Consider the following 24,369-nt stretch of genomic DNA (forward strand, 5'->3'; position numbering starts at 1 on the left):
GAAACTCCTGACCTCAGGTGATCCACTCGCCTCGGCCTCCCTACGTGCTGGGATTACAGGCGTGAGCCACCACGCCCAGCCCCTTCCTAGCTTTCTGATGGTCATGTTTTTAGTCTGTCTCCTTAGATCTGCCCACTAAGTTGTTTTATAAAATCTGAACCTTAACAGATAAATCCACTGCATAAGTTTACTGTATCCCTCCTGGCCTCCACAGGTCTGAGTTTCTGAGACCCCCTAAACCACTGACTGAAGCATGTCCTCCATTGCACAGCATTGGAGGCCTTCCAGCCTGTGCTGCTTCTGCAGCTTCCTACAAACCCATACCTAGGTAGATGTGTCAGCCTTTACAGGTGTTCACTCGGGACTCCCTTTGACTTGCCCAACCATTGACGAGTTTTAAGTAGGAGTTAGATTTAAAAAGACATATGAATGTTTTACTCTGTACATTCATAGAAGAGAGTAACCACCTTGTTTTTGCAACCTAGGTACCTTGTGGGTCAACGACTCGTGAACTACGAACGGAAATCTGGCAAACAAGGCTCATCTCCACCACCTCCACAGTCATCCCAAGAATAAAGTAGTTGTCTCAACAACTTGACCTTCCCCTTTACATGTCCTTTTTTGTGGACTTCTCTCTTTGGAGATTTTTCCCAGTGATCTCTCAGCGTTGTTTTTAAGTTAAATGTATTTGACTTGTGTTCTCAGCATTCAGAGAGCAGCGGTGTAAGATTCTGCTGTTCTCCCTGGATCTTCTGACATTACTGCTGTCTGAGATTTGTATATGTGTAAATACAAGTTCCTTGATACCCTAAAACCTTGGATTAAACAGAATGTGCATTGTACATCTTTAAACAAAATGTATATTAATTTATTAAATCTAGTTGTCACTTTATTTTGGACCTGCTGTGATCTCGACAGGAAACGTGCCACAGAGCAGTAGTGCGCAGGCAAGACTTTTCAGTGACGCCTTGTGGAACGCAGTTCATGATGTCCTAGCAGCTCTCACTAAGGGAACTGTACATTCTTTCTTTCTTGGCTATTCAGACCTTACCAAGAACGTTAAAGGAAACAAGTAGAAATCAGCAGTGGAGTGTCTGTGGTAAGAAAACATGAACTTTATGCTTCACTGTTAGTTGTTTGTGGAAGTTATTTTGTATAACACCAAAGCTGTTGTACATTTCCTACTGCCTGATTTTTTTCATGTGTCTGTGTTTGTAATATTGTATAGTATCTTGTGCTAGGTGAGGAAATTATTTTTAATTTTGATAATTTAATATTCCTAGTGTGATCAGCATTGGGAGTTGGGTTTCAGTGGGGCATGTCTATACTTAGAGAAAAAAAGTCCAAATGAAGATTTTCATGAGTCAGCCCCCCCGCCCGCCCCCACCCCACACCCACATCCTCTCTTTTCCACACACAACTATCTGTTTATTTTTTGTAGCAGTGGCCGAAAGTCCTGCAAGGTCATAAATCTTTCAGAGTGACATCACCAACTGTACTGCATCTTACTGGATTTAGGACTTCTGAGATGCTTGTGAAGTATAGATGTGGTTGTGGTCTTAGATTGACAGCATTAGAGAAGACTGGTTAGAACATCTGGTCTCGCTGGTTAGTGCCTCGTTGGCTGAGGACTAGGTGTGCATTTCTCCTAGCTTTTCATCAGGAAATCCCAAAGTTTCCAAAGCTTTTTGTTTACAGAATAAAACTTCAAATAAAACCAATTCATTATTTGTCCAGAAGGAAGCTTGGCTGAGCTGGCCTTTTAACATAGGAATGTATTTCGTTGGAAACATTCTGAAAAATCTCAGAGAACTGAACCCTTACAAACTTTGTTTTCCCTCATAACCAAAGCTTCAGGTTAGAAGTTTAGAAAAATAGAATGGTTGGGTACATGATCTAAATGTTTAATGCTAAAGGTATATCGTAAGGGTAGTGTTTGTTTTTGAACGATAATTTAGAAGTTCTCATAGAAAGCGTATAACATAGGTCTTCAGAAACTATAAAAGAATTTTCATATAGTATTAAAATCCATAGACTAAAATCTGAGAATTTTTTAACATATGCAAGTCAGCCAAACATAAGCTACCAAAATAAAGAGCAATGTGTTCTGGCTGTTTTATACTTCAACAATTTTTTCCCTAAGTGGTAAGCAATTACTTTAAAACATATTTTTAAAAACATCGGTATCGGGAGCTGCGGTGGCTCCGGCCGGTTGTCCTGGCACACAAGGAGGCGAGGCTATGCGTTCGAGGCCAACCTAGGCAAAATTGGAAAAAAAAAAAAAAATCAGTATCAGAAATAATGCTTGACATAGGATTCAGTGTTATACTCTTTGGCACTTTAGAGCAGCCTTTTCTCTCATTTGAAATAAGGTCTTTGTTAGCCCTACCTTTACTCAGAAATTTAGTCCTACTATAAAAAATTAGGATTTTAAAATATAATGCTGCCTGTCATAGTGTATTTCTAAATTGCTCTCTTTGGGAGAAAAACATTATTATTGAATTGAGCATATAACTATATAACTATATAACTATATATATATATATATATATATATATATATATATATATATATATATATATATATATATTTTTTTTTTTTTTTTTTTTTTTTTTTTTTTGCCCCCGAGACAGAGTCTTACTCTGTTGCCCAGGCTGGAGTGCAGTGGCACGATCCTGGTTCACTGCACCCTCTGCCTCCCAGGTTCAAGCGATTCTCCTGCCTCAGCCTCCCAAGTAGCTGGTACTACAGGTGCGTGCCACCACACCTGGCTTATTTTAGTTATTTTAGTAGAGATAGGGTTTCACCATGTTGGCCAGGCTGGTCTCGGAACTCCTGACTGCAGGTGATCCGTCCTCCTTGGGCTCCCAAAGTGCTGGGATTATAGGTGTGAGCCCCCACGCCTGGCCAACTTGATTATATTAATTTTGGGTTTTTTGTTTTGTTTTGTTTTGTTTTTTAATTTTTCAAAGAATTTGTGGATCTTGGTATAAAGTCATTGGAACATATCTGTTTTAACAGCAAGAGATCCTAGGCAGATACTTCAAAAGGTTAAAAATTCTTAATCCTACAGAATTTTAAATGAATCTTATCAATGTTTTGTAAACAAACAATATGAATGGCCAAAAAATTGCCCTCCATTTTACTGGCAGGTAATTTATATTGTCTTACTTAAGAATTCTCCCCTAGTTTTTCAATTGTACTTTATCGTGTTGTTTTCAATGAGATAAGTATTTTCATAGGGAAAGCATTTTCCAGCATAATATTTGCTTGGGTAGCATCCGGGTTTTAGTATTTAACCAAGAGCCTTTTAAATATTGAAAACCCATAGTTCAGAAAATGTTAGTATTGCTGCCCTTCTTCACATAAATTTTTTTTTAAATTATACTATTATTTTGCTTAATTTTATATTGGGTTAAAACAACCTTCAAGAAGGTTAACTAGGAAAGAAGACCTTTTTGTTTTATTTTTACTATTTATATATAGAAGACAAATCAGCATTTGGTGATAGTTTTACATGACCAGTTATCAAACGGTCATAGTATGAAGTGTGCAGTTGTTCATTATTAGTAAATTATGTTTGATTTTTAAACTATTTAGTACTAATAGTTGAGATGAAAACTGAAGAAAAATGCCAATGTGACGTTTGTGTATAGCTAGCCTTAAAAAACTTCCCATGTTTTTAGGTGACTTTTTTCCCCCTCTTAGTACTCTGGAGAAACAATGAAGATGGGCCATCTCAATTCCAGATGTAAACAAAAAGTAATTTTTATTTCAACATTTAATGTAACTGCTATTATTGTGGATTCTTGTCTTGTGTATTTTCTTTCCCTTATTCAAGTAATATAGAATAACTTTCCTTAAAATGATTTGATCCAAGATACGTCATTTCTGTATTGGCAAAATGCCACTATTAAAGTGTAATTCTTGAATTTAGGTTGAATTGATGACTTTTTAAAACAAAACAAACACTGGACAGTTCTACATTGTATTGCGTTTGCGAATGTGCGTGAACACACGCACACGTGCAGGAGAATGTAGTGCCATAAGAACACTGGCGCTTTTTAAAACTTTCCAAGCTAGCTACTTATTTTCATTTTCAGGGTTGAGTACTCTAAGCTCTCTACTTACTGTGAGAAGTTTTCTACATTGTAAAATTAAAAGATTATATTTAAAATACTTCTTTAGGATGTTATTCAGCCATCAAAAAAAAACCCAACTAAAATGTCTTACCAGTAAAGTATTATTAAAAGCCTCATTTGTGGAGATTCGCTGACTTCCTTGGTTAAGCTGTCTTGTATTTACTTAATTTGTCCCCTCAACCAGGTGTTTTCTTTTCAGCCTGTTACTGTCCTGTGCCATTTTTAAAAATAGCCATCATGAGTAAGGGCTTCTTTAAAATAATCCCTGACAATATCTTTGGCATTAATACGACATAAAGACAAGACAGTATATGTATGTTTTCATTCCTGTTTTGTACGAGTGCCTCATTTTGTAGTCATGAAAGTAACATAGTACCTTAAATAAAAATGTAATGACTAATCTAAGGTCTAGGAATAACTATTGTAGAAGCTAAGTAGAACACTTAGTTTGGGGTGTCAATTTTCTATCAACGCAAACACCTTAGGGTACCCAGACCAATTTTATGTATATATATTCTGAAATGCTCCCTTTTTAATGTGGTCATTTGTTGCCTTCTAAGTTGAGAGGACAAAACTGAATAAAGTGAATGTTAATTGTAGTCTAGTTTTTTTGTTTGTTTTTGTGTTATTGCAAGATTGCTTTAAGATTGCAGAAATATGCATTATTAGCCAGCATAGATAATCCAGATGTTATAATAGGAAGGAAAAACAACTCCAGTTAAATGTGACTGTGGCGACTCCCTTTTATGTATACATTTAAATGCATAGTTGCAGAGGACACATCCCTCCCCTTCTGTCTCCCTAACTTGAACTGTAGACCGTCCTCACTGGGAAGAGTAAGGCCCCACATTTTGTGCAATAGCAAGCTACTGCCCACTTCTGCATGTCTGCTACGAGATCAGAAAGTCAGTTTCACTAAGGTTGTCTTTTAGCTGAATACTTAGAGTAAAACCAATCAAATCCATTGTACATACCTGACCATATGTCCCAGATAAAAAGGAAAGACTTGCGTGATGTTTTTTTCCTTCTGAGTGCCCTGAGGAGATCCTTTTGCTTCAGACTATTTCTAATTTTTCTTTGTTTATAGGTTCAGAATTTTTTCCATGATTGTTTTCCCCCAAACAAGTGCATTTTTAATTACTTTAAATGCAGGGGTGATAGAGGAAATGCTATTCGAACCATAGACATCTTTAATCTGTGAAGCTGAAATTTTTCAGCAAAGGAAATTGCATGGTCAAGTTCAGAAACTGGCCATTAATTTCCCCCTTCCGCTCCACAGTTCATAGCTACTCTTGTTGCAAACATGTAGTGATAAGGAGAACTAACGTATCAAGGGGCTGAGAGGGTAACGTTCCCCTCCTCCTCCATGTTTTTATTTTGGTGTCTGTTTTGTTTCTAGCACTGTATTTAGTACTGTAGTTGAATGAGGTATGATGTCTCCCTTCAAGGAACTCAGAATGGAACAGAAGCATGAGCAAAAGATTGTATTACAGAGGTATGAATAAAATGCCATGGGGAACACAGAGAAAGGTTCACCCGGGAGAGATGGCCTAGCCACTTCCTTAGTGACTGTTTGGTATATGTAGGTCCCCCTGCCATTACTCTTTCAGCCTTCTGCAATCTAGTTCTACTTAGTCACACACTTCTCTAAGACCACTCATACGTAAACACTACGTAGAGGCCCCTTTTTGCCTCATTTTACATTGTTTAGTTATCATTTTGAAACTTTTCTTCACATATGTAACAGTGCCGGAGTTTTTCTGCTTCTCTGTGTTTGTTCAGTAACTCTTCTTTAGGATACACCTAAAGATGAGAAGCTTCATACCCAGTACTCCTCTTCATTCACTCATATGTTTTTGGGATCAGTCCCTTCTGCTGGCTGTGCATTGGTCTAATGGAACAGAATAGAGTCCAGAAATAACCCAACATGTATGTGGACAACTGGTTTTTGACAGAGGTGCAAAGGTCTTGAAAAAATGATGCTGGAATAATTGGGCATCAGATGCAAAATTAAAAACAAATTGATCCATATCTTAACACTGGCAAAGATTAAAGTCCAAATGGATTATAGTTCCCCAAAACTGTATAATTTCTAGAAGACAACAAGGAAAACGTGTTCAGCCTTGGGTTAGGAAAAGATTTCTTAAATCCAACACCAAAAGCACAATCCATGAAGGAAAAATCGATAAATTGTACTTTATCAAAATTGAGAACTTCTCTTTGAAAGGTACCATAAGGAGAACAAAAAGACAAGCTGTAGAGTGGCAGAAAAATATTTGCAAAACATTTCTGATAAATGAGTTGCATCTAGATTACATAAAGAAGTCTCAAAACTGAACAAGTAAACCCATTGTTTACTTAATCGCTGTTTCTCCTGAGCTTGCTGCCTCTGCCCCTGCTCTCTCTCCTTTTCCATTTGTTTTCAACATTGAATCCAGAATGTTCTTCTTGAGATCCAAGTCAGATCACACCAACCCTCAGAACTCTCCAATAGACGACCATGGCACTCAAAAGTCCACAATAGCCTTCAATGCTGGGCAAAACATGAAGCACCCCTTTTCTCCCTTCTCTGACCCCATCACCTCTGTGTTCACCCTGCTCCTGCCGTCCTCCCTGCCTCCAAAACAGGTCAGGCCTTCGTGCCTTTGCACTTACTATTTGCAATACCCAAATGTTCTTCAGGCTCTTTAGCCTCTTCATTTCTTTCCTGAAGTGTCATTCTCACTGAGGCTTATCTAAAGCTGCAGCTACTGGGGCATTCCTGTCTCATCTCCCTGCTGTATTTTGTACTCCCGGCTCTCTTTTGTACTTTTAAACATACTATATGGTTTACCTTTGTTGTTTATATTTGCATGTTGTTTCCCACTTGAATGTAAGCTCCAAAGATTTTATTTTTTTAAACTGAATTATTACTGTATTCCCAGAACAATTCCCTGGCAAATATTTGGTACTCAATAGTAATGCTAAGTTAGTAAATAAATGATGAATTTAGAATCAAAATAATGTGTCTATGGCCAAAATAAAACCTGAAATCCCTGTCCTATTTCCCAGAGGTAACTGCTGTTAATAGTTTAGTTGTGTGCTTCCAGACATACCTTCACAGAATCATTTATCACAATAAAGGTGTCATACTATGCAGATTGTTTGACAAGATGCTTTTTTTCACTTTACACGGGCATCTTTTCATACCATTGTGTGGCCAGGCCATGATTTGTTTTCCAAAAGACATTTACCCAATTTATATGGTGAAGATTTTTGTCCATATTACTTTTTATAGTATTTCTGTAGGGTAAGTTCCCAGAAGTAATATTGCACGATCATCGAAAAATTTTAGTGTTACATTACTGCCCCATAAAGGTACTAATTAACATCCCTCTCAACAACATAGAAGATTCCTTTTTTTTTTTTTCTTTTTTTGGGTGGAGGGGGGCGGGGACAGAGTCTTACTCTGTCGCCCAGGCTGGAGTGCAGTGGTGCCATTTCTGCTCACGGCAACCTCCACCTCCCGGGCTCAAGCTATTCTCCTGCCTCAGCCTCCCAAGTAGCTGGGAATACAGGCACGCGCCACTACGCCCAGCCAATTTTTGTAGAGAAGGGGGTTTCACCATGTTAGCCAGGCTAGTCTCGAACTCCTGACCTTGTGATCAGTGCTGGGGTTACAGGCGTGACCCACCGCGCCCGGACGGATTTCTTGTTTTCATACTGTCATCAACTTTAAATACAAGTATTTTCAGTTTTTGCCAATGCTGTTAATTTAGAAATGTGTATGTATATATTGTCTGGTGGGTGTTTGGATGGAAACGATCAAAATCGGGCAACTTCCCCAGTTTCCTTGAAGGGAGTGCTTGCCATCGGCCCCTCTGGGAAGTAGCTCTCCGTAGTTCTCCATCTTCCTGTTTTGAGGAACGCAGGAGGAGGTGGATCTGGAGTCTCATCCATTCGGTGGCTGTTAACGGCAACTGCAGCAGCCAGCCAGGTCACCCCCTAAAGCAAAGTTAACCCCTTGCATGGTGCCTTGGTCAGCACCCACCAAATTCGAGGTTTCTCCTATCCTTCGACTCGAGGCTCTTTTGACAGATGTGATTTATTTCCTCCTAGAGCCAGTCACATTGGCTCAAGCAACCTATCGTAAGAAAACAAATACAATAGTGTTTTAGCTGGAAACTGCCCACTGTCTAAGCGGCTTTTTAAATTAAGAACTCAGGTTCACTACGGGATGGCTTAGGCCAGGGAACAGCATGTGCGAAGTTCGAAGCCCGAGAAGTTTGGAGGAGCGGCCCCAGGCGCAGGCGGGTCCCGCAGCGGGGCCCGTGCCGCCCAGGCGATCAGCCCCTTCACTTAACCCGCTTCCCTCCTAGCAGGCCCGAGTCCCCTAGCCTCAGCCTCACGCAGCCAGAGCAAGGGGAAGAGGGAGTCCTTCGTGAGTTCGCCGCTCACATTCGGCGGTGGGAAACCGATCCGAAGATGCTTTTGTAGGCGAAACGCTCAGCTCGCGCGGCTCTGAACCACCGGGGAGCAGCGGCTGCTGCTAGTCGGACTACGCCAGCACCTCCTTGTCCAGCCCGGGAGCAGCCCCGCCTCGCTCAGGGCCGCGTGCGCGTGCGCGGCTCCAGGGGCGGGGCCTGCTCGCGTCCCGGGTGCCTGGATACCGAGCGCGTCCGTAGTGGCGGCTGGCGCTAGGGAACTGCAGGGTCTAGGGTGTTGTCGGAGTGGCAGTTGGTCCGAATTTCTCCCGAAGCCCGCGGAGGAGCGGGTAAGAGCCCCGCGAATCCGGCCCCAACCTCGGGAACGGGATGGGAGGCGGCCCTGGCCGCAAGCCCCGCGCTGCTAGCGGGTCCACCGCGTCGTAGCCGACAGCCGCCCTTCTTCCTCGCAGCGCGCCGCGATTCACCAGCCTGGTCCCTTCTGCGGAGAGCGATGCCGCTTCCCGACACCATGTTCTGCGCTCAGCAGATCCACATTCCCCCGGAGCTGCCGGACATCCTGAAGCAATTCACCAAGGCTGCCATCCGCACCCAGCCGGCCGACGTGCTGCGGTGGTCCGCGGGGTAAGCGCCCTTGGCCCGGGGAGCTGTCCGGTCTACATGCCCAAGCCAGACGAGCCCAGAGAGCCCTCCTCCCGGACCAGGGGCCTTACGCGGCACTCAGCGTCCTTAAGAGTATCAGGCAAAACTTTCCCCTTAGCATTGGTGACATCTATACTTGAGTGTTTTATCTAGGAACCATTTCGATTTATCGACTATGAGACCCGAAATCATTGCAAAATGCTCACTTACCTACAACGTAATGGCAACTCAATTGTTTAAAAGTGTTTATGATGAAGATAGACTAAAACTTAACAAAGTAATTGCATTGGGCAAAAAAGTGTTTACATTATGTTAAAAAAATTACACGGTTGCAGTCACTTTGTGAAATGACTTTACAAAGAGGAATATTTTAGCTAAGTTCCTCATCTGCAGAGAGTCCTCTCAGAGCTATGTATACCCAGAGCTGGTTAAATTTATTAGAACCGGAACGACCGTGGTCATACTGAGGTCATCATCCCTAGAGTGCTCAGGGTAAACTGTCCAGCAAATGAAGCTTCACAGTTTATTTTTTGCCACAAACATTCCAACACTTGCCAGGAACAGACATTCATAATCTCAAAGTTACAAGTCAACAGATCTTAGAGGCATTAAAAGAAATCCTCTTGGTTTTACAGGAGAGCTCTTTGCCCCTTTTCAATAAACAGATGTAAAACAAAAACTCACTTTTATGATGACAAGAGTCAGCACAGGTGTAAATTTAATTTAAATATTTTAGTCATCAACATTTCAAATTTTGGCTGGGCTTGGTGGTTCATGCCTGTAATCCCAGCACTTTGGGAGGCCAAGCTGGGAGGATCACTTGAGCCCAAGAGTTTGAGACCAGCCTGGGTAACACAGCAAGACCCCATCTGTATTTTTTTTAATAAGAAAACTAATTTAAAAAGAAAAAAAACAGCCAAATTTTGCTGGCTTTAAACTCTATAACCAAAGTGAATTAGTTTCGTTTGGCTGCTGTAACAAATCACCACAAAACTTGACAGCTTAAAACACAGACATACATTTGGGCCGGGCGCGGTGGCTCACGCCTGTAATCCCAGCACTTTGGGAGGCCGAGGCGGGTGGATCATGAGGTCAGGAGATCGAGACCATCCTGGCTAACAAGGTGAAACCCCGTCTCTACTAAAAATACAAAAAATTAGCCGGGCGCGGTGGCGGGCGCCTGTAGTCCCAGCTACTCGGGAGGCTGAGGCAGGAGAATGGCGTGAACCCGGGAAGCGGAGCTTGCAGTGAGCCGAGATTGCGCCACTGCAGTCCGCAGTCCGGCCCGGGCGACAGAGCGAGACTCCGTCTCAAAAAAAAAAAAAACACAGACATACATTCTTGCAGTTCTGGAGGCCAGAAGTCCAAATTAGTTTCACTAGGCTAAAATCAAGGTGTTGACAGGGCTTTGCTCTTTCCAGTGGTTCTCAGGAAAACCCAGCTCGTTTCCTTGCCTTTTCTGGCTTCTAGAGCTGCATTTCTTGGACGCCTTGGCTCATGTCCCCTTCCTCCATTTTCAAGGCCAGCATCTTCAAATCTCCCTCTGCCTCCTTCTTCCAAGGACACTGGTGATTGCATTCAGTGGCCATCCAGATAGTCCAGGGCAGTTTTCCCACCCGAGATCCTTATCAGTCCACAAAATCCCTGTTACCATGTAAAGTAACATTCCCAGGTTCCTGGAACATGGACCTGGATACCTTTGGGGCTGTTATTTTACCCACCAACTGAGCTACTTGTCCATCCAGTGCTTGCCTTCTGAGAAATGCTTTTATCAATGGTTTCTGAAAGACTCTTTCAAAGTTCTTGCTAAAGAAATATAGCCTCTGGTTTTAACCATTATTCAAGCTTAAATAAAAGGATTTATAAGAGTTTGTGCTGTACAAAAAATTCCAAGATTTAGCAACATCTTCTTGGAACATTAAACTATATTTAGTAATACCTTAGAGATAGTTATGTTAAGCTTCACTTTGTTTATTTATTTATTTATTTTTGAGACGGAGTTTCACTCTTGTTGCCCAGGCTGGAGTGCAATGGCGAGATCTCGGCTCACGGCAACCTCTGCCTCCCGGGTTCAAGCGATTCTCCTGCCTCAGCCTCCCAAGTAACTGGGATTACAGGCACTTGCCACCACACCCGGCTAATTTTTGTATTTTTAGTAGAGATGGGGTTTCACCATGTTGGCCAGGCTAGTCTCGAACTCCTGACCTCAGGTGATCTATCCACTTGGGCCTCCCAAAGTGCTGGGATTACCAGTGTAAGCCACCGCACCTGGCCTAAACTTCACTTTAAGAGGCTTAATCAGGCTGGGCATGGTGGCTCACACCTGTAATCCCAGAGTTTGGGAGGCCAAGGCTGATGAATCACCTGAGGTCAGGAGTTCGAGACCAACCTGACCAACATGGTGAAACCCCATCTCTACTAAAAATACAAAAATTAGCTTGGTGTGGTGGCACGCATCTGTAGTCCCAGTTACATGGGAGGCTGAGGCAGGAGAATTGTTTGAAACCGGGAAGCAGAGGTTGCAGTGAGCCAAGATCGTGCCACTGCACTCCAGCCTGGATGATAGAGCAAGACTCCATCATAAAAATAAATAAATAAATAAGAGACTTAATCAGGAACTTTCCGAATGTACCATGCTACTAATTTCTCTCAAGAGCCATTTATTTATTTATTTTTTAGATAGAGTCTTTTTCTGTGGCCCAGGCTGGAGTGCACTGGTGCTATCTAGGCTCACGGCAACCTCTGCCTCCTGGTTCAAGCAATTCTGCCTTAGCTTCCCAAGTAGCTGGGATTACAGGTGCGTGCCACCACGCCCAGCTAATTTTTGTATTTTTAGTAGAGACGGGGGTTTCACCATGTTGGCCACGCTGGTCTGGAACTCCTGACCTCAAGTAATCTGCCCTCCTGGCCTCCCAAAGTGGTGGGATTATAGGCTTGAGCCACCGCGCCTGACCAAGAACAATTTGTGAGTTTAGGAGAAAACCCAGGTATTATTCATTCGGCAGTATATATGTAATTGTAGGTTCAAATATGTTTCAGCTGTCACAGGACAGAATCTGTTAGGGAGAGCTATTCAAAAGTAACTTGAGTAAGGCGGGACTTGGTAAGTGCAAAAATGAAGGGTCACGAAAGTTAAGCAAAGTAGTGGCTTGGTCCTTGAGAGATTTTGTAGGCAGAGAGATTGGGGCTTGGGTGGGGTGGAGAGGATTCCAGGAAGAGGAAGCAGCACAGGAAGAAGGGGGTGGAGACAGGAAAAAGAAAAACCATCAAAACCAAAACAGGAAACCAGGATACCCACGGACATAACTGCTATAGAACAAGCAAGTAGGCTGAGCACGGTGGCTCACACCTGTAATCCCTACATTTTGGGAGGACGAGGCGGACAGGTTACTTGAGCTCAGGAGCTCGAGACCAGCCTGCACAACGTGGCAAGACCTTGTCTGTACTAAAAATAAAATTAGCCGGCCATGGTGATGCATGTCTGTAATCCCAGCTATTCAGGATGCTGAGGCAGAAGGATCACTTGAGCCCAGGAGTTGGAGGCTTCAGTGAGCCATGTTCACAACACTCTACTCCAGCCTGGGTGACAGAGCAAGAGCCTGTCTAAAAAAGAAAAAACAAACAAACAAAAAAGATGAAGCAAGTAGGCATTCCTCTTTCCTCAGGTTAGGGTTCTTTTCAAAGGTGCTTTTCAGGTGGGCAAATATCAAAGATGAGCCAGCCTCCCCCTAAGCCTGTGGACTCCACTGTGAGGGGAGTCGGCTGTTCCTTATGACACCATTGTGCAGTTGTGCCTCACACAGGACAATGAACATAAGAATCAGTCAAGTAATAGAGGCTGCTTTGGTTGGCGTGTGCCTCAAGGAACTGGCAGAGGCTAACATTAGTTGGTCTCACCTCAAAAGCAGGCATTTCCAGCCTCGGCCCTACTGACAGTTGGGGAGGGCACAGGAGGAAGGGGCATCTTGTGCATGATGGGACTTAGCAGCCTCCTGGCCTGCACCCACTGGATGCCTGGAGTACCATCCACCCTCTGTTGTGACAATCAAAAATGTCTCCAGGCCGGGTGCGGTGGCTCACGCCTGTAATCCTAGCATTTTGGGAGGCTGAGGCGGGTTGATTGTCTGAGCTCAGGAGTTTGAGACCACCCTGGGGGCAACATGGTGAAACCCCGTCTCTAATAAAATATAAAAAATCAGCTGGGCTTGGTGATGCACATGTGTAATCCCAGCTACTCAGGAGGCTGAGGCCGGAGAATAGCTTGAACCTGGGAGGTGGAGGTTGCAATGAGCTGAGATGGCGCTACTGCACTCCAGCCTAGGCCACAGAACGAGACTCTATCTCAAAAAAAAAAAAGCGTCTCCAGAAATTGCCAAATGCCTTTTGGCTGGGGAGGAGGGTGGCGGGTGGGGGAAAGAGGAGGAGCATTATCCCCCACTGAGAACTCTGCCTCCAGAGGCTGTATCTAGCTCGGGATTCCTTGCCTGAGTTATGAGGAGTTACCCCCATGAAATAGGTGAAAACCTTGATTAGTAGGAATGTGGCAAAACGAGGCACCTATTCTTCACCCACACCCTTTAGGTCTTTAGGTTCACATTTGTCTAACTCACTGCTGCCTTCAAATCATTAACAAAGCCACAAAATGGAGCTGAAGTTGTCTTACAAAGCAAGGAAACAAAGTCAAATTTGAGGGGTGTAAAGAGAGAGAAAGGATGAGATATGAAGTTTATTTTAGTCTATCAGATATCGACTTATCCATATTTATCTGTAGCAATGTTTCTAACTACCCATGGCTTTAAAATTGTTATCTGTGGCCCTGGTGGATGCTTTGATGTTCATTTGCCTGGATATGCTGTCTCTTTTCATCATGCTAAAGTCATTAGGGCCCCAAATGATGTGGCTTCAGCATCGCCACCTCTGGCAAAGATACCAAGGGGCGTGAGTTTCTCAGAAGGTCTTGCCTGGCACCCCTCCCACCACGAGCCAGAGGCTGGGTGTGGGTTCCCTCTTGACTTATTGCCCCAACAGTTTCCCACTCTTGCCCCCAACATAAGCAGCAATATCAGTGTCCCAGAAAGGAACAATTAAGGGGAACAATACCAGGCAGGAAAAGTGGGGGTGGGGGGATGGGAGCCAGGCCAGCACCTGCCATTCCCAGTGTGGAAGTAGGTGACCTGTGTGTTCCTGGGCTGCCTCAGGGTTGAATATGCAGAGACGCTTAAAGTCAAGCACCTCAAAAAGCAGCAAGACCAAACCCACCTGTCAAAAGTGGGAAGACGGCCAGGCACAGTGGCTCACGCCTATAATCCCAGCACTTTGGGAGGCCAAGCTGGGAGGATCACTTGAGGCCAGGAGTTCCAGACCAGCATGGGCAATGGAACAAGACCACATCTCTGTAAGAAATAATTAAAAAGATTAGCCAGGTGTGGTGGTGTGTGCCTGTAGTCCCAGCTACTCAGGAGGCTGAGGCGGGAGGATCCCTTGAGCTTGGGAGGTTGAGGCTACAGTGAGCCATGATTATGCCACTGCACTCCAGCCTGGGTGACAGAGTGAGACCCTGTCTCAAAAAATTTAGGAAAAAAAAAGAAAGAATAATACATGGAACTCCAGCTGATTGTGAAGTGGCAGGGAGGAGGGGAAGAATCACACATGTTGAAGGAGCTTCTGCGAGTGCCAGCCACTGCGCCAAGCCCTTCTCACACAATGCTCCCCAACCCTCCAACAGGGAGTCTCATTATCCCCTTTGCCAACAGAGAAACTAAGGCAGGCAGAGAAGGTTAAGTCAGAGAACCAAGTGGAGGAACCAGGACATAAGCCCGGGATGTTGGTCTTCAGAGCTGTCCTTCCTAATCACCGTTGTTTTGGGGGGTTATTTAAGAAATTGGATCGCATAGCTGTTTTTTGTGTATTGATGAGCTTTCAGAGATGTCTGTTATTTATTAGCTATTTTTCAGCTCTGTCGAGAGGAGATCCACTTCCTGTAAAGGACAGAATGGAAATGCCCACGGCAACCCAGAAAACAGACACAGGCCTGACTCAAGGACTCCTGAAAGTTTTGCACAAGCAGGTATGGGGGGGCGTAGTCTCTGGCCTCAGGCAGCTGGCCTGTGCTTTCCTTACCGTTCACTGTGCATTGATGACAGAGCGGGGCACACCCCAGCAATGTATTTCAAACCTCCTGAGGTCCCTGAAATCCTGCTTTCCCTGCCACGCATCGTCAAGGTTGATTCAAGGAAGAAATATGTTGTGTCTGGGAGGTCTTTTTCTAGCTTCAACAGCCCCAAGTCACTATCCAGGGGTAGAGTTTAGAAAAGTGAAATATAATTTCTTTTAAATACAAAATTTACATGACACTAGATTCTGCTGGGCAAAACATACAAAATTTCAGAACCTGGGGGGTTTCCAGTCCGTTCTCCAGGTGTGTGTTTGTGAAAGCTGTGCGCAGGCCTGAGTAAGCCTCTGCCTTCTCTGTCTGGAAGGCGGGGCTGGCCTTTGGCCCCCAAGGTGGGCAGCAGCCTCTGGTGTCCAGTGCTGTGGAGAGCCTGGGCCCCCTTCCTGCCTTGCGCTTCTTTGCCCCACACGCCATCCTGTTTTTACAGACGTGAGTTACTAGAAAGTGGGTCACGGAGCAAGGCTAGGCCTTCCTCATGACTCGGTTCTTTTGCTAAAAGAGACACCAGTGGCATAACCTTGATTTTCAAACTGACTTATCCCCATTCTACACTGTGAAGTACTGTGCTTCTGCGCAGGATACAGTGAATTCTGAAACTAGGACTACCTTAAGGGAAGCAAAGAACTCTTGAATGGTGTAGCTTGCGAAAAGACATGCTGAAATTGCTCAAAGCCTTTTCATCCAGGATACTGCTAGCAGATTGCAGAAGTTTTCAGTTTTGATAGATTGTTTAAAATAGTAGAAGGAAGGCCGGGCATGGTGGCTCATGCCTTTAATCCCAGTACTTTGGGAGGCTGAGGCGGGCAGATCACTTGAGGTCAGGAGTTCAAGACCAGCCTGGCCAACAAGGTGAAACTTTGTCTCCAATAAAAATACAAAACTTAACAGGGCGTGGTGGTGCGCACCTGTAATCCCAGCTACTTGGGAGGCTGAGGCGGAAGAATTACTTAACCCTGGGAGGTGGAGGTTGCAGTGAGCCGAAATCATGCCGCTGCACTCCAGCCTGGGCAACAGAATGAGACTGTCCAAAAATTAACAAATAAATATATAATAGAAGAAATACATTTATTTTCAGTTTTAAGATCTCTCCTATCTAACTGTTAATGTGATTAGGGGCTGGATTTTTAAAATGTTTTTTACTGAGCTTTATTTTTTATTGTGAAGCATTTCAGACAGATAGTGGAGTATCGTATACTCAATATCAGTATGCCTGTTTCATTAAGTCATAACATGATGCCGTATTCGCTTCACCGTCCTTTTTTCATTTAATAAATAAAAGGTTGCCGCTCGCTGCCTTCCCTGCCTTCCCTCCCCAGGGCTGACAGAACCCCCTGTCATGCATTTGGAGTTCATCTGTCCCCTGCATGGGGCGGGTTACTTGGTGTGTGTTGAATATTCACAGCATTCATTGTTTCCCAGGTTTTAAAACATACATAAATTGTCATGCTGTGTTTTCCAAACAGTGTCACCACAAGCGGTATGTGGAATTAACAGATCTTGAGCAGAAGTGGAAGAACTTGTGCCTGCCGAAGGAAAAATTCAAAGCGCTCTTACAACTGGATCCTTGTGAAAACAAAATCAAGTGGATAAACTTTTTAGCGCTTGGATGCAGCATGCTTGGTGGGGTATGTACCTATAAACAGCATATTAATAATTCTGTGTCATCATGGTCCCAGCTTAAAAATAATTTAGGTTTCAGTAACTAAAGGAAACACTTTAGTAACTTTGTCTTAGAAAAGCATTTCCCCCTGCTCCAGGCCTATTATATTAATATTTTCAGGTGTACAGTTATTTTAATTTACAGAAATTATTTATGAATGCCTCAATTTAAAAGTTAATAGTAGATGAAAGATATGGATACTATTAAAATATATTTAGGTTTTAGAAGAAAATGCATCAATGACTTTTTAAAACTACAAATCATTTTGTAAACTGATAACTGTTTTGCTCATCTGTGGAAAGAGGCATACAATTATTTTCTACTTTAGTAGAAATCTATTATTATTATTTATTTATTCATTTTTTTTGAGATGGAGTTTTGCTGTTGTTGCCCAGGCTGGAGTACAATGGCGCAATCTCGGCTCACCGCAACCTCCGCCTCCCAGGTTCAAGCGATTCCCTGTCTCAGCCTCCCGAGTTGCTGATAGCTGGGATTACAGGCATGTGCCACCATGCCTGGCTAATTTTGTATTTTTAGTAGAGACGGGGTTTCTCCATGTTGGTCAGGCTGGTCTCGAACTCCTGACCTCAGGTGATCTGCCCACCTTGGCCTCCCAAAGTGTTGGGATTACAGGCGTGAGCCACCGCGCCGGCCTTAGAAATCTATTATTAATAACTAATAGATACAGTGAGATTTTGCTGATGTTTGAGTATAAGCCAAGCAACTTAGGAATAAGACATGATCCTCCAGGTGACGAGGCGAGCCTGGGAGGTCGGGGCGAGAAGGGAGAGGTTGGAGCTGGGATGATGTTGGCAGGGCTTCCTTTGCAAACCCAGAGTCAGTCTTCTCAGCTAAAGTCTTGCTGTGAGACATGGTGGTTGGGTGAAGGAAGAGTAACCAGGCATCTGCCATGTGAAGCTTATGAAGAAAGGAGGCAGAGAAAGGAGAACCAGCTCCCTTTACTACATAGATGAACAATTTGATTTTCCCCCCTCCCTTCAGTCTGTGGCCCCAGTGTGTATAACTGGTCCTTGCTTCACAGCCCTCACTCAGCTTTGCTCCATGCACAGAGCTCTTTCATTCCATTTTCATTAAAACAAATTACTTGAAATGGGTGGTGGTAAACACCCGCAAGGCTACCCAATGTGGCCACTAATGCACCAACAGTCACTTCCAACCACCTGTGGCCTCCTCCCATGTCCTGTCCCCCTGCCTGGTGGCCTGAAGCAATGACATTTCTGAAGTTCCTGCTTCTCGCTTCCTGACCTCTGAAACACATGCTTCTATGTGTCCCGCAAGAGGTACACTGTGGAATTTTAGTTGGTTTTGACTTGATGAAAAGACATTTGTGTTGTCAGTAATTTTCTGAAATTTTCATCCTAAATTATATGACTAGATGTATTCATCTGTACATCACAGGCCACGTTGTTCATTCCCTTCCTTCGCCATGTCACATCTGAGTGTGGCGCAGTTCACCAGCTCTGCAGATGGCCCCAGTGGGAAGCTCCGTGCCCTCAGGGAGTCGGGTGTGGTGTGGCTGTAGAATGAGCAAGAGTTTTGTTGTGTAACTGCTCAAAGGCAATGGAGGTGCTTCCTGTCAGCCCCGGGCTAATTGTGCCAAGGCCTGGATGTTGGCAGGCATGGTACCCTCCAGTAGCAAGGACAGGTGCAGATGGCACCAGGGGAGTGTCTCAGGGGTATTATCAAGATAGACAAAGGCAAATACTTTTAATTATTGGAGACATTTTTATGTCACTTTGTTAATCTGGAACTCTGTGAAATCTATCTATCTATCTATCTATCTGTCTATCTATCTAATCTATCTATCTATATCTGTATCTAGCTATATGTTTTTTGAGATGGAGTCTCACTGTGTCACCCAGGTTGGAGTGCAATGGTGTGATCTTGACTCACTGCAACCTCCCAGGTTCAAGTGATTCTCCTGCCTCAGCCTCCCGAGTAGCTGGGATTACAGGCATGCACCACCATGCTCAGCTAATTCTTGTACTTTTAGTAGAGATGGGGTTTCACCATGTTGGCCTGGCTGGTCTTGAACTCCTGACCTCAGGTGATCTACCAGCCTCAGGTTCTGGGATTATAGATTACAGGTGTAAGCCACTGCACCCAGCCTAAAGTATATGTGTGTGTGTGTGTGTGTGTGTGTGTCTGTGTGTGTGTGTGTGTGTGTGTGTATTTTTTTTTTTTTGAGACAGAGTCTTGCTCTGTCACCCAGGCTGTAGTGCAGTGGTGCGATCTGGGCTCACTGCCACCTCCGCCTCCCAGGTTCAAGTGATTTCCATGCCTCAGCCTCCCAAGTAGCTGGGATTACAGGCATGGACCTCCACGCCTGGCTAATTTTTTGTATTTTTAGTAGAGACAGCGTTTCACCATGTTGGCCTGGCTGATCTTGTACTCCTGACCTCAGGTGATCTGCCCGCCTCGGCCTCCCAAAATGCTGGGATTACAGGTGTGAGCCACTGCACCCGGCCCTGAAATCGATATGTTAACAATATAAAATTGTATGCAATGTTTGAATTAATGTTGGTGGTTTCTGCCTCTAAGCTTAGTTGTAAAATTTTGATTTTAAAATGATGAGAAAGTAGAATAATTCATGTTTTTGGATCCATCTTTATAGTTTTCACCTTCCTAATTGTGAAAATTAAGCACTAGATTTAAAACACAATTGAATCTGATTTGAAAAATAAGGCCTCTTGTCCATGTAGAGTGTGTGACACTAGATGGAGACATTGTGTTAAGGATAGAGCTTGGCCGTCTAAGCTGACTCCTGGGGAAGAGACATCACAAACAGCACACATTCTTTTGGGTTCTTCCTATCATAGAGAATAAATTGACACCAGGAATCATGCTGTGCATCACTGCGGGTTCCTGCCTGTCTCCTGACTTGAGCCACCTTTGCCAGCAGGACTCCAGATTTGCCCTTGACTCCTTCCATAGGTGCTGGAGGCCTCTCCTGGTTGTAGAAAGCCACAGCCACCCTCTGCTCTGGTCCAGTGCGGCTGTAGACTCAGGGTCAGGTTCAAGTGTGGAAGCTGACCTCTCCTCCCTCAGAGGAGCGTGTGCTCGTCTGGGGTCCATGTCTGCTGCCAGGGATGCCTGCTCTGCCCTGGCTCCCGCGGCCCACAGAGTGCTGAGCACGAGTTCAAACACCTGTCTCGGGGTGCGCTGGGTAGACAGGAGGTGCTCGGACCCTCCAGGCCTTGGTGTGGACAGTTGTGTTGTTGACCTTGTTGGCCCTGGGTGGCTTGGAGGTGTGCTAAGAACACAAAGCTGTGAATTCAAGGAGGGGTTTCTTCATGTCGTTCAGCGTCATAAGCGTTCATTTTTATGCTTTAAAAAAATACCTTCAAAAAGGAGGAAATGAAGTGCGATGAGAATAATTTGTAGTGGATTACCACCTGCAGAAGTTTATTTCACATAGGATGCTGTGTAATTGGTGGCTAGCCGCTGCCTGCGTGAGCGGGATAGATGTCGTTCCTGCTCCCTGCATCTATGGCGGGGGCGTGGCTTGTGGCAGGTGTACTCTCTGTGCTGTTTACATTTATTTATCTTAGAAATCACTCTAGTCAAATTCATCGAGTTGAAGATCTCTAAAAAGACTGGAAACCTCTGCTTCAATTTCTGAATCATACATACCATTCATTCCACAAATGTTTACTGTGCATTATTTTGTGCCAGGCCCTGTTCTAAGTGCTGCAGGTTCTGGAGTGAACAAAACGGGCAAACATCACCAGACTCTTGGAGCTGATGTTCTGTTATATCCTTGAAGCCCTGAACACTGCTCTACTTATTACATCAAAAGCTATCAATTCAGGTTAAGGGGCACTGTGAGCTGCCCCAGGCAGGTGAACAAGGACATTAAATTGCCATCTGGATGTTAAGAGATTCCTGTCCTCTTTCTCAATGTTTTGATGTGCTTGCATGGTGAAATGACCATATTTGTATGTTGTGGCTTTTATTTAATTTTTTTTTTTTTAAGAGACAGGGTCTCGTTCTGTCACCCAGGCTGGAGTGCAGTGGCATGGTCATAGCTCACTGCAGCCTCAACCTCCTGTACTCAAGCGATCTTCCCACCTCAGCCTCCCAAGTCGGGATTACAGGCATGCAGCACCACATCCAGCTAATTTTTTATTTTTTGTAGAGACAAGTATCTTGCCATGTTGCCCAGGGTGATCTCAGTTCCTGAGCTCAAGCAGTCCTCTTGTCTTGGCCTCCCAAAGTTCTGAGATTTATAGGTACAAGCCACAGAGCCTGGCTGACTTTTATTTTTCCATTTCTACAATGCCATTAATGATCCTGAGCATTAAAGCTGTGGATCAAAATGTTTTGTTTTGTCTTTTAAGCATGGAGATCTTTTTTTTTTTAAGATAAGAAAATTGTGAACCAAGTCTTTCATCCCCATACTGACACTGACAGAGTCAGTCTGTCATGATCAAAACAAATCACATTGACTTTAGTCAGGCTTTGAAACGCATTTGAACTTTCTTAGTCACAGAAGCATCATTCTTCGTTTACAACCACAGATGCACACGTGTCTAACGCAGTTTTCCATCTGAACACGGTGCACGCAGTGGGCATGATTTCTAGGGTTTAACCGGGTGCGGGAGTGCACAGAGCCCTGCGTGTGTATTCTCTGGAATCCTCCCAACAGCCCTTTGAGGAAGGCACCATCAGGATTGCAGGCTGGTGCCCCAAGGCAGAGAGAAGCTGAGTCACAACAGGTGACTTGGAAGTGGGGAGAGGGGAGGATTCCTCCTAGTGGCTCCATAGCCCAAGGAATGTGCAGCCCACAGGTTAGGACCACCTTATTCAAGTTTACGCCTGAGATTTCCTGTCTCGGAGAAGAACAACTCCTCGGGACGATCATCAAAATCATTTTGTGTCCTGAAGTGATTCATCCCCTGGAAGGCATTCAACCTCGGCCTCCTCCTGACAACACACACTTTGGAGCTCTCAGAACATCGCCCCATCCAGCTGTGCTACAGCATGTCAGATTCAGTGACTGACCTATGGTGGTTCCCTGTTGGTCCGATGTGACAGCCACCTGCGCTGCGGCAGTGACAGAGGCTGCATCCTGGCTTACTCCTCGCTGCTGTTTCCTTCCAGGTTTCCGCAGCTAGGGCTCGAAAGCCCATTCGGAAGTGACCAAGAAAGGCCAACAGAATTCCTCATAGCCCCTGCAGCCCGTGAGAAGAAGACACAGCCACGCCCCCACCCCCCAGTGGGAGCCTGAGGCCACAGGCGTGTTTAGGAAGCTGTCCCTGAAGACGAAGGAGCCGCTCAGGCTCCTGACTCCCCTGGCCCCAGCTCCAGTTCCCCTGATTGCTCATGTCCCTCCCTCTGTGGGAAAGAGGCAGGGGCCACGCTCCCCTGACCAACCTTGCCCTGTCCGCTGGAGATTCCCATGGGCCGCTGATGCGGGCCGCTGTGGCCTCCCCATCCCTGTCCTGCACAGGATATCACACCCCAGCCACGGGGTGAACTGCTCCTTCCCATTCAGGGCCTCCTACCCTTACCTGCTGTCAGCCCCAGAAATGGTTTTAAATTAGGAAACTCTAGAGGATAATAGAATTCGATGAAAAGGCCCTTAAGCTCTTGAAAACGCAGTGCTGGGTTAGAGGCTTTTAAAAACCAGTGCTCGGTCAGAGGCTTTTAAAAACCAGTGCTGGGTCAGAGGCTTTTAAAAACCAGTGCTGGGTCAGAGGCACAGCTTCACTGGAAGTCCAGTCTCTACCCCCAGCACAGGCAGCTGTGCCTCAGAGGGGGACCTCCTTTGTTCTGATTCTGTGTAAAACGGGCCTATTTTCATTTCCATGCCAGCTGAGAGGTGCCCTTGGGGAGGTGTGAGGTGACTGTTGAGGGGCCTCATATCATCATGAGAGCAGCTATAATTTGGAAACTGAAAAACCCCACAGAGTTGGCATGCCGAAAATGCCCGGAAAATAGTGGGTGCCCTCGTGCCTGTGCTCTTCACTCATCTCCACTTGAATTTCAGATTATGGATCAGGTGTAAATACTTGGTTAAAAACTAAGTGTTTGGCTGGGTGCAGTGGCTCACGCCTGTAATCCCAGCACTTTGGGAGGCCAAGGCGGGTGGATCACCTGGGGTCAGGAGTTCGGGACCAGCCTGACCAACATAGTGAAACCCCCGTCTCTACTAAAAATACAAAAATTAGCTGGGCATGGTGGTGTGCACCTGTAACCCCAGCTATTCAGGAGGCTGAGGCAGGAGAATCGCTTGAACCCAGGAGGCGGAGGTTGCAGTCAGCCAAGATCGCATCACTGAACTCCAGCCTGGGTGACAAGAGTAAAACTCCATCTCAAAAAAACAAACAAAAAAATAAGTGCAGCTTGCCAGTCACCTCTGCCCAGCACATATCGCACATGGGAGAATAAATCAGCCACACAGCAGACGGCAGCATGGGGCAGCCATGCCAAGGAGAGGGTCTTTTGGCTGTTGTGCAAGTGACTGTGCCACCCACAGGCCTTTGGAATTGAGAAACAAATGTTAAGAAATGTGACTCGCAGCACAAGATGGAGCAAGTTGCCTTATGAATCCTTCTGGATATAAAAATTGCTGCAGATCTTATTGTCAGAAACGTTGACATGGGTAGTGTCATCACGCCTTTGCAGAGGAAGTGATGCTCGAGTGTTTTGATGTATTTTTCCTTAAATACCGCTTCCTCTGAAGCCTTGGAACGGCGCGTTACACAGATCTCATCTGCCTGCTCCATCCACGCCAACTCCTTCCTTTCCGACTCATCCTTCCTGAGGCCCCGCAGTCCTGCACACGGTGGTGACGGACTTCCATTTGTGTCCAGTGTAAAAGCAAATCCCATCATAACAACATGTCTTTGAGAGTTTCAAGCAAGGAACATGGATTGTGAAATACACGACTCGGCTTTGAGCAAGTCCTGTCTTGGGGACAGTCTTTTAGAGGAGCCACGTGTGCAGTGGTCCTGGAGCGGTGCCTGCAGCTCCACGGAGCAGGTTCTGCACTTTTCCTAGAGAGAGCATCATGTTGCCCTGGGAGCTGCACTCACCCCCTAACCGTGCCGTCCACCTCGGCAGCATCAGGTGCAGCCGCCACCAGCACTGCTGGCATGGGAAGGGGGTGGAAATGGGAGGAACTGCCCCATCAGGCCGCTGGGGACAGGGAGATCAGTTCTGTTCAGGGCTCCATCTCCTGCAGCCAAATATCTGGGTCCTCAGATAGGCGACGTCTGTGCCCCAGGTCTTGTTCCCAGAGCCCGCCTGGCGGCTGCTAGACATAATAAAATGGAGTAGTCACTGGGGTGAGCTCAGAGGCCC

General features: G+C 45.1%; 2 protein-coding genes and 1 long non-coding RNA gene across 14 annotated transcripts in view, besides 1 other annotated feature; 2 read left to right on the forward strand and 1 right to left on the reverse strand.

The window, feature by feature from the left end:
• Positions 1-7,280, forward strand: part of MARCHF6 (membrane associated ring-CH-type finger 6) — an 86,694-nt gene extending 79,414 nt beyond the window's left edge. For all 7 annotated transcript variants that reach the window (NM_005885.4, NM_001270660.2, NM_001270661.2 and 4 more), the window contains one exon: positions 486-7,280. In NM_005885.4, the coding sequence (NP_005876.2) occupies positions 486-576 (91 nt within the window). In that variant the 3' untranslated portion in view covers positions 577-7,280. The remainder of the gene's footprint in view (positions 1-485) is intronic.
• Positions 7,281-7,626: 346 nt separating this feature from the next.
• On the reverse strand, positions 7,627-8,743 carry ROPN1L-AS1 (ROPN1L antisense RNA 1). The gene is made up of 2 exons (NR_102746.1): positions 8,580-8,743; positions 7,627-8,265 (listed from the first exon to the last, which is right to left on the reverse strand). It is a non-coding gene; the product is annotated as an ROPN1L antisense RNA 1 (long non-coding RNA).
• Positions 8,625-8,884: a silencer, noted in NCBI's record as "silent region_15921". NCBI's record gives its function as "represses an Ori minimal core promoter by ATAC-STARR-seq in GM12878 lymphoblastoid cells {active_cell/tissue: GM12878}" and the evidence as "EXISTENCE:reporter gene assay evidence [ECO:0000049][PMID:35858748]".
• ROPN1L (rhophilin associated tail protein 1 like) overlaps positions 8,771-24,369 on the forward strand; it is a 40,929-nt gene continuing 25,330 nt past the window's right edge. For 4 of the 6 annotated variants that reach the window (XM_017009947.3, XM_006714504.4, XM_017009946.3 and 1 more), the window contains exons 1-4: positions 8,771-8,895; positions 9,019-9,190; positions 15,152-15,275; positions 16,844-17,005. In XM_017009947.3, the coding sequence (XP_016865436.1) occupies positions 9,060-9,190; positions 15,152-15,275; positions 16,844-17,005 (417 nt within the window). In that variant the 5' untranslated portion in view covers positions 8,771-8,895; positions 9,019-9,059. Of the gene's footprint in view, positions 9,191-15,151; positions 15,276-16,843; positions 17,006-24,369 lie in introns of all 6 variants that reach the window. The other 2 variants (XM_047417808.1, NM_031916.5) reach the window with 1 other exon arrangement.

Source organism: Homo sapiens, chromosome 5, assembly GCF_000001405.40.
Source record: "Homo sapiens chromosome 5, GRCh38.p14 Primary Assembly".
Lineage (NCBI taxonomy): Eukaryota > Metazoa > Chordata > Mammalia > Primates > Hominidae > Homo > Homo sapiens.